Consider the following 12,228-nt stretch of genomic DNA (forward strand, 5'->3'; position numbering starts at 1 on the left):
TCGTGATCCGCCTGCCTCGGTCTCCCAAAGTGCTGGGATTACAGGCGTGAGCCACCGAGCCGGCCAACTACTGCTGTACTTCTTACCCCCTGTATCAAAGAGTTAAAATCTAATTTTTTCCCAAGATCGGTCTCACTGTAAGTCTGCTATCTGTATTTTCCCATTCTTCGTCTGATAGCCACCGACATTAATGACCAGCTCATTACATGTTGAGGTGTGGGGAGATGGGGGTAGAACCCCGTCAACCCAGGATTCGAGTTTAGAAAGACTACAAGCCCCAAAATGCAATTTCACCTCCCAAAAACTACCATTCCCAACATGCAATGCAACCAGGACGAGCCAAGGAAAAAAAGTACAAGTGTGGCTGCAAAGTTTGCCCCTCTTGTTACCCTCAGGCAAATGATTGATTTAGAAAGGCCCCAGGGGCTATTTTTTGCAGGAACGGTCACTCCCTAAATCCAGGCAGGGAAAGGGAGGAGTCTGAGCCGAGTCACGCCCCTTCTCCTGTAAACTTGGGTCGCCTCTAGCTTAGCGAGCGCTGGAGTTTGAAGAGCGGGCAGTGGCTGCACACGCCAAACTTTCCCTATGGCTTCGGTGACCAGGGCCGTGTTTGGAGAGCTGCCCTCGGGAGGAGGGACAGTGGAGAAGTTCCAGCTGCAGTCAGACCTCTTGAGAGTGGACATCATCTCCTGGGGCTGCACGATCACAGCCCTAGAGGTCAAAGACAGGCAGGGGAGAGCCTCGGACGTGGTGCTTGGCTTCGCCGAGTTGGAAGGTGGGTTGAACTGTGCCCTGGGCTGCGAGCAGGCCCCAGGCCCACGCTACATACCTCCCGGATCTAGCGGGCCACTTGCAATGCGAGGGACCAAGGGGGAAAGTCGCCTAGCTTGGGACCGTCTGACTTGCAAGCGCATGCATCATAGAGGGCCGTGTGGCCATCCAGCATTTGGGAAAAACTGTAATAAATAAACTATGGCAGTTGGCCTCTGGTTATCCGTTCAGGCTTTGCCCCAGTTAACGTAAAAGGTCAGCTGATGGTATGATACACTTCAGCGATCCTGGAGCGATCTTTGAACTGCCTAATCTTTGAACTGCCTGATACCTGGAGAAGGCTGGAGAGGAAAGAGCAGGCAAGAGGGGGTGTGGCTCCCACTTCTTCCCTTCTGAAGAAGGAAATTCAAATACTTGCCTCTTCTACTTCCTTCTTCCTTGATCAGATTCTCTTTGAGGCCTGGTTGTCTCAGAAATGCTCCACTAAGCTCAGTGGTTGCCTAGTACACCAGCTACCCAATAACCATTTAGGAACAAAATAGAGAAGACCAACTCAGTGTCTTCTCAGAGATCAGGTCTCCTACCAACTAGGATGGACTTTTATCCCAGAATCCATGGGCAATTAGGATCAGGCATTAATTAATACATTTGACAACTCTATTAATCCGATGACCTCATTAAACAGGACAGACAAGGTCCCCACTCTTGCGGTTTGGCTGGGGAGATAGACTTTAACTCAGTAATTGCATAAATAAAGAATGACAATTGCAGCTTGATTGCAGCAAAGGAAAATGTACATCATGCTCTCTTAGCACCATGGTGTAACTAGACAGAAAATGAGGTGTGAAATAAAGCTGGCAAAGGGAAACTGAGAGTTAATACTCTCTGCTCAGTGGTTGGGGCGTAGACAAATTCTGCTGGAGAGGAGGTTTGAGGTTTTCCTTTTGGTGTGTCATTCTGTCTGTTTGGTTCTTCCGATACGTAAGATATGTAACTTGGCTCATGGTTACATGTTGGCCAGACCAGCCTGGCCAGCATGGTGAAACCCTGTCTCTACTAAAAATACAAAAAAATTAGCTGAGCATGGTGGCACGTGCCTGTAATCCCAGCTAGTCAGGAGGCTGAGGCAGGAGAATAGCTTGAACCCAGGAGGCGGAGGTTGCAGTGAGCCAAGATTGCGCCACTGCACTCCAGCGTGGGTGGCAGAGCGAAACTCTATCTTAAAAAACAGAGAGCAAATTTCAATTCCTCAGGGAAAAAAACAAAACTCAGCTTTCTGTTGAACACCACCATGCCCGGCTAATTTTTTTGTGTTTTTGGTAGAGATGGGGTTTCACCATGTTGGCCAGGCTGCTGGCGGGCACCTGTAATCCCAGCTACTTGGGAGGCTGAGGCAGGAGAATCACTTGAATCTGGGAGGCGGAAGTTGCAGTGAGCCGAGATTGCGCCACTGCACTCCAGCCTGGGCGACAGAGTGAGACCCCATCTCAAAAAAATAAAAATATACTCTAACCTTTCCCTCTGCCTTTCTGTGTAACAGCTGACCATAAAGAAATTAAGACCCTCATTCCAGAGGGGTCCTGCCCCATACCCGGAGGAAGAAATGCTGCATGGGGAGGCCAAGAAAAATCTGAACACAGGCCTTGCCGAGTTTCCCCACTCACTCTATTAGCAACAGATCTTACCCTTTTGGTCCAATCATATTTCTACATGGCTGTCCATGTTCCATTGGACCTAAGCATAGAAATGGATTGTTTTCCTTGTATCTGTCGGTCTTCATTCTGAAAGCTCCCGTGTCACATAAAACTATAATCAAATAAATTTGTTTGGCTTTTTTATGTATTTTTTATTTTTTAGAGGTGGAGTCTCGCTCTGTCACCCAGGCTAGAGTGGAGTAGTGCAATTATAGCTGACTTGCAGCCTCGAACTACTGGCCTCAAGCAATCCTCCCACTTCAGCCTCCCAAAGTGCTGGGATTACAGACATGAGCCACTGTGCCCAGCTGTTTTGCTTTTCTCTTGTTACCCTGTGTTTGTTGTAGAGGTGTGGGCTGTGACTCTTACAGGGGAGATATACAACACTCTGTTACTATTTTGATGGTGCTCTGATACTACATTTCTAGTGCATTAAAACCTATGTTAACAATAAACTGGTAACAGTGGTTGTTAAGAAAGGATCCTGGGTGCCCAGGGTGCAGAGGATGGGAAGGAGACTTAATTTTCACTGCATATTCTTTTAAACCATCAGAGTATGTAAGTATATATAAACAAACAGAGGTAAATAATTTAAAGTAATAAGACTTGACAGAGGCCGGCATGGTGGCTCACACCTGTAATCCTAGGAGTCCAAAGTGGGAGGATCGCTTGAGGCCAGGAGTTTGAGACCAGCCTGAGCAACATAGTGAGACCCTGTCTCTAAAATAAATAAAAATAAATAAATAAATAAATAAATTTAAATTTAAAAAAAATTTTTTTAAATACTTGACAGAATAAGGGGTTATCTTGACATTACCATATCCCAAAAATGGTTTTGAGCCATGCGGAAGATCTGAGCGTGGATAATTCCATGAGACATGGTCCTTTTGTAACTGCAGAGTTAGATATGAACAATCTTCAATTTCCCAGACAGGTTATATAAACTGTTTGGATGACAGCCATAACCAGAGGTCAGAATGGTTCAGTTTCTCCCTGGGAAAATGGGATTTTTTTCTTTCATAGAATTCTAAAGAAGAAAATTATATAAATTTTTAGTTACAGTAAGAGAGGAGACCACCCCTCATATTGCCTTATGCCCAATTTCTGCCTCCAAAGAAAGAAGTAAAAACTAAAAGGCAGAAACGAAATCCACAGGCAGACAGCCCGGCACTACGCCATGGGCCTGGTAGTTAAAGATCGACCCCTGACCTAACCAGTTATGTTATCTATAGATTCCAGACATTTTATAGAAAAGCAGTGTGAAAATCCCTGTCCTGTTGTGTTCTGTTCTGATTACCGGTGCATGCAGCCCCCAGTCAGGTACCCCTGGCTTGCTCAATCGATCACGACCCTCTCACGCAGACCCCCTTAGAGTCGTAAGCCCTTAAAAGGGACGGGAATTGCTCACGCGGTGAGCTCGGCTTTTGAGACGCAAGTCTGCCTTCTTCAATCCGGTGTCTAAGGAGTTTTGTCTGCGGCTCGTCCTGCTACAACAGCCTAGAAAAATCAGTAATGCCTCCTATGAGTTTTTCAACCTTTTTTTGTATTTAAAAATGTTTTTTGCCGGGCACGGTGGCTCACGCCTGTAATCCCAGCACTCTGGGTGGGTGGATCACAAGGTCAAGAGACAGTGACCATCCTGGCCGACATGGTGAAACCCATCTCTACTAAAAATACAAAAATTAGCTGGGCATGGTGGCGCATGCCTGTAATCCCAGCTATTCAGGAGGCTGAGGCAGGAGAATCACTTAAACCTGGGTGGTGGAGGTTGCAGTGAGCCGAGATTGTGCTACTGCACTCCAGCCTGGTGACAAAGCAAGACTTCATCTCAAAAGAAGAAAAAAAAAGTTTTTCTTTTTTTTTTTTTTTTTAGTGCAGTGGCGCTATCTCGGCTCACTGCAGCCTCCACCTCCTGGGTTCAAGCGATTCTCATGCCTTAACCTCCCAAGTAGCTGGAATTACAGGTGGGCACCACCACACCCGGCTAATTTTTGTATTTTTAGTAGAGACGGGGTTTCACCATATTGGTCAGGGCTGGTCTCAAACTCCTGACCTCAAGTGATCCACCTACCTCAGCCTCCTAAAGTGCTGGGATTACAGGTGTGAGCCACCACGCCCAGCCTAAAAATATTTTTCATCGGCATGTCCCACCTACAGTCATTATGATTTCTTTCAAAGCCTGTGCTGAAAATATTTGCTTATAAGCCACAGGTATAAACAACCTACCCATACAATCATTGAAACGCCTTCCTTTTCATGTTTCCCCCAGTTGCCACCAAAGACCTGGCTATTAACTGCCATGAGAGGCATTAAGGAAAAAATAGAAAAAGTAAATTTAGTGCCTTTAGAAAACCTGGGTTCAGAAGCAGGGATGAGGAAAAAAAAGGATCAGGTTAGAGGCTGCAGTTTATTGTCGCTCACGCCCAGGAGCACCCTGGTGGGAGCATTGAAAATTCCTGGTTTAAAGTTCTGCTTCCTTCCTTAAAGCTGTGCGACCCCGGGCAATTTACTTAAACTCTCCAGACCTATTTTCTCACGTGAAACAAATGGATTGTGATGATTTAATGAGCCATGGGCTGTGATATGTGTCTAACCATATCTGACCACATATTTGATACGTCTCTGATCAGAGGGAGCAACTAATCATTTTTATCCCCTTTCTTTCCTTTGCCCCCAAATACCATCTCTGACTCTACTAGAACTTTTTATTTCACTTAATTAACACTGCAAAAAATGGCATGGAGATTCAACTAGGACAGCAAGCAGCCACTAAAAAGTATATAAATTATCTGAGATTACTAAAGTGCTTATTAATTAAATTGTTTTCTTCATATAACCAAAGGATAAGTCATTCTGTGAATGGGGGTTTTGATTGAGAGTGGTGAGTAATTTTATTTCAGACTTTAGTGCACTCTGGCTAATTTTGGGCTGTCCAAATTGGGTGTCACAGTGTGGTCCTTGGGTTGTTAGAGGAGTGGAAAGGGCCATATCCCATGATTAAGCATTTATTAATTTATTCTCGCCAGTGCCTTGCCCAGGAAAGGGGGAAGCGTTTCCTCTACTCTAAGCTCAGCAATTGACTTGGTTAAATCAATATTCATGGCTTGACCTAGGAACTTTGAACATTTTCATGAAAAATAGTATTTTCTGCATTTCAAAACAAATTTTTAGCCATGCCTTATTCGGGATTTGGGGATTGTCACTTTTGTAATTCCGATTTGATGTGAAAGCTTAGTAACTATTAGTCCACTGCTATAGAAGAACTGCCTGAGACTGGGTAATTTATAAAGAAAATAGGTTTAGTTGACTCACAGTTCCTCATGGATGGGGAGGCCTCAGGAAACTTACAATCATGGCAGGAGGCGAGGAGGAAGCTAGACAGATCTTACACGGCAGTAGGAGAGAGACAGAAAGGAGGGGAAATTGCCACTTTTAAATCATCAGCTCTCGTGAGAACTCACTGACTATCACAAGAACAGCATGGGGGAACCGCCCCCCTGATCCAATTACCTCCACCAGGTGGGATTACAATTCGAGATGAGATTTGGGTGGGAGCACAAAGCCAAAGCGTATCAGTAACATTTGAAGGTAGTATAAAATTTATTTGTTCTAAAGGGTTTTTCAGAGACAGGATTTCTGCTGTGCTTAAATTCTTAAAAACTATTCCTCCAGGGGCACAGTGGCTCTCACCTGTAATCCCAGCACTTTGAGAAGCCTAGGTGGGAGGATCACTTGAGCTCAGGAGTTCAAGACCAGCCTGGGCAACACAGGGACACTCTGTCTCTAGAAAAAATACAAAAAGTATCCAGGTGTGGTGGCGCATGCCTGTAGTCCCAGCTATTTGGGAGGCTGAGGTGGGGACCTGAGCCTGGAGGTCAAGGCTGCAATGAGCCGTGATGGCACCACTGCACTCCAGCCTAGGTGACAGAGAAAGACCCTGTCTCAAAAAAACAAAAACAAAAACAAAAAAAACCCTGATAATTATGGGGAAAAAAAAAAACAACAAAAAAACCCTATTCCTCCAAACCAAGGAACTGGCCTGGCAAGTGCTTCTTATCTTCATGACGTGATTGGTTTTGGGTAGTGGTCACTTGTAAGGGAATTCTTGCAAGCCCATGTGGTAGGAGCCCTGCTGTTGGCTTTGTGGTTGTCTCCAACACCCAGTGTGCCTCTGGCAGAGAGCGGGAGCTCAGTGTTCACTTGTTGAATGAATCAAAGTAGGACTCAAAAATCTCTACAGTCAAACATCTTGTTTTTTAGAAAAAAAATTCTGCTTTTCTATAATTTTTGAGCTTCTGAAAAGCGGATGAAACAAAACCAAGGAAAGATTGTTTGGCTCTTTGGGACTCCTTTTGGTTAACCAGTGTATGGGCTTTTAAAGCTATTTTCAGAAAGAGAAGAAGGTGGGGAGAGGTGGGAATAGGAGAGAGAGAGATCAGCCTGGCCTGTGCCTAGGGATGGAGGTAAGGTTAATAACCAGAAAGCCTGCGCTTTTCACATAATTTGATACTGAAGAACATGGACTCATGAGCTAGACTGTCTGGATTCAAGTCTTGGTTCTGCCACTACTTAGCTGTGTGTTTTGGGGCAAGTTATTTAACTTTTCTGTCCTCAGTTTCCACATCTGTAAATTGGGATAGTAATAGTGTCTACATCATAGAAACGTTCTGAGTATGAAATGAAGTAAATGTAGAGCACTTAGAAAGTGGCTGGGACACACTTTGGGAGGCCAAGGCAGGTGGATCACCTGAGGTCAGGAGTTTGAGACCAGCCTGGCCAACATGGTGAAAACCCATCTCTATTAAAAAAAAAAAAAAATTTAGCTGGGCTTGGTGGCGGGCACCTGTAATCCCAGCTACTTGGAAGGCTGAGGCAGGAGAACTGCTTGAATCCAGGAGGCGGACGTTGCAGTGAGCCAAGACCGCACACTGCACTCCAGCCCAGGCTATAAGAGCAAAACTCCGTCTCAAAAAAAACACAACACTCAGTAAGTGTTAGCTATTATGATAGTCAATGGGCAACACTCTGATGCACCTGCAGATTAGCAAAGAAGCAAACCAGGAAAGGCCTGGAAGAGAAGGATTAATGTTTAATTTGTACCCAACCAGTTGGGTAATGGAAACCTGTGACCTGTAACTGGCCTAATCAGCTCAGGGTCTGTATCCTGAGAGCCTCTCCATCCCTTGAAAAAATAGTTCATATGCTTGAATTGCATTCTCTGCTGATCTGAAGTAGACATGACAGATACAGAGTACCACGGGAAAAGGGAATGGAATTCAGAGGACATCTAAGTGAAAACTAGAGTGGAAAGTAATCTTGGTAATAATACAGAAAACAATCTCCAGACCTTAATCTTTTCCATCGTAAAGTAAGCACAGAGGAATTTAAAGAGAAGAAAAGTACCATAATATGCCCACGCCCAAAGTTGTAAGTATGAGGACGCTACTTTGCTTTTTACAGCCCCTCCCCTAAAAAGGCCCCAAACAGTTTATGCTGATTATTATACCATGTAGCCATCAAAAGTAATATGGGGCCGGGGCGGGTGGATTACAAGGTCAGGAGATCGAGACCATCCTGGCTAACACGGTGAAACCCCGTCTCTACTAAAAATACAAAAAATAAGCCGGGCATGGTGGCGGGTGCCTGTAGTCCCAGCTACTCGGGAGGCTGAGGCAGGAGAATGGCGTGAACCTGGGAGGCGGAGCTTACAGTGAGTTGAGATCGTGCCACTGTACTCCAGCCTGGGCGACAGAGCGAGACTCCGTCTCAAAAAAAAAAAAAAAGGGAACTCAAAAAAAAATAAAAAGGAATATGGTAGATATGTCATGACATGGAGCAATCTGAAGATATTTGATAAATGAAAAGTTGCAGAACAATGTACGATTATAGTGTGATACTCTATGTAGTATGATTCTCTTTATATGGAATATGTGTGTTTGTGTATTTATATATTTGCTAATATGTAGTTAATTCAAATTTTTAAATGAAGTGTACGTGCCAGACTGTTAATAGTGGTTACCATTGGAAAGGAGGGGAGTGGAGAGGTGAAGGAAGGCTTTTGTGTTTTAGTCCTTGTTTAGGTTGCTAGACTTCACAAATAAAAGTACAGGATGCCTGGTTAAATGTGGATTTCAAATAAACAGCTTATACTTTTTTTTTTTTTTTTTTTGAGACAGTCTCGCTCTGTCGCCAGGCTGGAGTGCAATGGCATGATCTTGGCTCACTGCAACCTCTGCCTCCTGGGTTCAAGCGATTCTCCTGCCTCAGCCTCCCAAGTAGCTGGGACTACAGGCACAGGCCACGACACCCAGCTAATTTTTGTATTTTTAGTGGAGACGGGGTTTCACCGTGTTGGCCAGGATGGTCTCAATCTCTTGACCTCGTGATCCACCCTTCTCAGCCTGCCAAAGTGCTGGGATTACAGGCGTGAGCCACCGCGCCTGGACACAACTTTTAAAGTATAAGTATGTCCCATGTATAATAATAACATGAACAAACTTATACTAAGCAATTATTTGTTGTTTATTTGAAACTCACATTTAACCAAGCATTCTATATTTCCTCTGGCAAACCTACTCTATATCCTTGTGTATTACCTAACTCTCTCTAAAGGATATTTTAATGTACTAATTATGTGATTTAAAAAAATAAGAAGAGAAAGAATAAGATCGCTTCCCCTCAAGACCACACGAAAGTATAACTTTGGCCTAGAGAAAAGGAGATTACAAAGCAGTGTTATACAGTCCCCCTTCAACCATAGTTTTGCTTCCTGCAGTTTCAGTTACTCAGAGTCAACTTTGGATTGAAAATAGGTGCATACAGTACAATAAGATGTTTTGAAAGAGAGAAAAGCCTGGGCACAGTAACTCATGGCTGTAATCCCAGCACTTTGGGAGGCCGAGTTGGGCAGATCACCTGAGGTCAGGAGTTCGAGACCAGCCTGGCCAACATGGTGAAACCCCGTCTCTACTAAAAATACAAAAATTAGCTTGGTGTGGTGGTGCATGCCTCTACTCCCAGCTACTCAGGAGGCTGAGGCAAGAAAACCACTTGAACCTGGGGGATGGAGTTTGCAGTTAGCCGAGATGGGGCCACTGCACTCCAGCCTGGGCAACAGAGTGAGACTCTGTCTTAACAACCACCACCACAACAAATAGTTTTATAAAAAGAAAGAAAAAAGCACACAGATGCATATACTAAAAGATGGAAGAGTGTGTGCACATAAGAATATTAGCAGTGGCTCTCTCGAGTGATGAGATGAAGGATAATTTCAGTTTTTTCTTTGTGCTGTATAAAATTCTTTACAATTTTGTATAATGAATATTAATTACTTTTGGAAAAGGAAAGGATCGTATGTAATGAAAGCCATTTTCTGTGATTCAGTGAGGACTTTGACATGCCCAAGATGTTACCATGTGCAGCATTCGTCTGAAGAAGGTGAGGGACAGTGGCATGCAACACACCTTTGGATTGAGGGTTTTTTTGTTTTTTTTTTTTTTTTTTGTGTGTGTGTGTGTGTGTGTGTGTGTGTGTGTGTGTGTGTGTGTGATGGAGTCTCGCTCTGTCGCCCAGGCTGGAATGCAGTGGCGCGGTCTCGGCTCACTGCAAGCTCCACCTCCCAGGTTCATGCCATTCTCCTGCCTCAGCCTCCCGAGTAGCTGGGACTACAGGCGCCGGCCACCACGCCCAGCTAATTTTTTTGTATTTTTAGTAGAGACAGGGTTTCACCGTGTTAGCCAGGATGGTCTCGATCTCCTGACCTTGTGATCCGCCTGCCTCGGCCTCCCATAGTGCTGGGATTACAGGTGTGAGCCACCGTGCCCAGCCTGAATTGAAGTTTTAAAAGTGCTGTCATCCCTTGTCCTTGCAGGATACCTCCAAAAGCAGCCATACTTTGGAGCAGTTATTGGGAGGGTGGCCAACCGAATCGCCAAAGGAACCTTCAAGGTGGATGGGAAGGAGTATCACCTGGCCATTAACAAGGAACCCAACAGTCTGCATGGAGGAGTCAGAGGGTTTGATAAAGTAAGTACGGCACATGTGACTGAGTTCCCTTTAGGCTCACTTTACGCATACCTTCTGCTTGCCAGGCACAGTCATAGGCCCTAGAGCACATGAGTGGTGAGATGCAGGAAAGAGGCCCCTTCCATGGTTCAGGGCAGCAGGTGCAATGGGCATGTGCTAGGACCCATCCTTCTCTAGTTCATCTGTTGGAACAGACAGGGGAGCCCCAAGAGAAAGGATGTCAACCTTTGACTTAGGAAAAATGAGAAACAACTTTCTCACAGTGTTGAGATCAGGGAGTCGGGTTGAAGAGATGTGGATTGATAACAGTATCTTCCACTTATTGGACAAGACATTGACATATATTATCTCTTACTCTTACTAAAACTCTGTGTTATCACTAAATGGGAAAACCGAGGCACTGAAAGGCCACATGGCCAGGCACAGTGGCTCACGCCTGTAATCCCAGCACTCTGGGAGGCCGAGGTGGGCAGGTCACCTGAGGTCAGGAGTTTAAGACCAGCCTGGCCAACATGGTAAAACCCCGTCTCTACGAAAAATACAAAACTTAGCTGGGTGTGGTGGCGGCCACCTGTAATCCCAGCTACTCTGGAGGCTGAGGCAAGAGAATCGCTTGAATGTGGGAGGTGGAAGTTACAGTGAGCTGAGATCACGCCACTGCACTCCAGCCTGGGCAACAGAGCCAGAGTCCGTCTCAAAAAAATAAAAAATAAATAATAAATAAAGGGCCACATGACTCCTAAGTGGGACAACCAGGGCTGCCTGGCCCAAAACACTCATTCTTACACCATAGCTGCTGGTGTCCACCCAGGCTGCATGGGTGCCCCCGTCCAACATGCTTCCCTGTACCTGTCATTAAGCCCCCCGCCCCATGCAGCATGGCGCTGCACCAAGGCCTGCCCTTCCACTGAAGTGCCTCATGCCTCAAAATCATATCAGATTCTCCCCAGTTCCTCCTCTCCACATGAAAACGACCATTCTTTAAGCAGATCCCTAGAAAACAAGGTCAGGAAAGCAAATTGATCGAACAGCTTCTCCCTGGGGTGGGAGTGCTTGGCCTCCTGCTTCCTAGCCCCATGGGAGTCTATGGGTTAACCCCAGTGATTGCTCTCTTACTAGTCTAATTTCAGGCTGTGCAGGAGTAAATTTCAGTAGTTAACTTTCTTTTAAATTATACCACCCAGGTTATTTGCTAGAGAAGAGCCAGAGAAGAGCCAGAGAAGACAGGAACATGTATGGCCACTAATGGCCACAGTTTCTTCTCTTCTGCCTCTAACCACCACTTGTCCTGCAGAAGGAGGCTTCCCCGCCTCCATGAGCTTCCTGCTGGTGGCCTGGAACTAGACTGACTGCCCCATGGGTTTCCCTTTCCTCAGTGATGGGATTCTTCATGCCAGGGAGGCAGAGGGCAGCATGTGCTCTGCCAGTATTAGGGCAGAGTCTCTAGAACATGCCAGGATCATGAGCAAACCCCAACCAGAGAAAGTAAGGCCCAGCCTGGCTTCAGACAGGGATCTTCAGAGGAGCCTTAGGACAGCACCTCGTTCTAGCTTGCCCCTGCTCCCCCTGTTCACTGTGGCATTTTCCGTGGTGTTGCTTAACTTATATTCCCTTCAAGAACACAGCAAAATCGTGAGTGTACCTAGCCTTCAGTGCAGTGTGCCCTTGAGCCCCTTCTGTGAAGCAGGGGGCACAGTAGGCCAAGGACTCCTGAGGCTCACAGTATAAAGAGGGAGAT

At 45.6% G+C, this 12,228-nt stretch overlaps 1 protein-coding gene across 3 annotated transcripts in view, besides 2 other annotated features; it reads left to right on the forward strand.

Annotated features, from left to right (window-relative positions):
- Positions 290 to 802: an enhancer, noted in NCBI's record as "H3K27ac-H3K4me1 hESC enhancer chr2:38893008-38893520 (GRCh37/hg19 assembly coordinates)". NCBI's record gives its function as "activates a minimal SCP1, AML or CMV promoter by ChIP-STARR-seq in naive H9 embryonic stem cells {active_cell/tissue: H9 hESC(naive)}" and the evidence as "EXISTENCE:reporter gene assay evidence [ECO:0000049][PMID:30033119]".
- GALM (galactose mutarotase) overlaps positions 538 to 12,228 on the forward strand; it is a 68,652-nt gene continuing 56,961 nt past the window's right edge. For all 3 annotated transcript variants that reach the window (NM_138801.3, XM_047443419.1, XM_011532540.3), the window contains exons 1-2: positions 538 to 775; positions 10,336 to 10,490. In NM_138801.3, coding sequence (NP_620156.1) covers positions 586 to 775; positions 10,336 to 10,490 — 345 coding nt within the window. In that variant the 5' untranslated portion in view covers positions 538 to 585. The remainder of the gene's footprint in view (positions 776 to 10,335; positions 10,491 to 12,228) is intronic.
- Positions 803 to 1,315: an enhancer, noted in NCBI's record as "H3K27ac-H3K4me1 hESC enhancer chr2:38893521-38894033 (GRCh37/hg19 assembly coordinates)". NCBI's record gives its function as "activates a minimal SCP1, AML or CMV promoter by ChIP-STARR-seq in naive H9 embryonic stem cells {active_cell/tissue: H9 hESC(naive)}" and the evidence as "EXISTENCE:reporter gene assay evidence [ECO:0000049][PMID:30033119]".

This window comes from Homo sapiens, chromosome 2 (genome assembly GCF_000001405.40).
Source record: "Homo sapiens chromosome 2, GRCh38.p14 Primary Assembly".
NCBI classification, from domain to species: domain Eukaryota; kingdom Metazoa; phylum Chordata; class Mammalia; order Primates; family Hominidae; genus Homo; species Homo sapiens.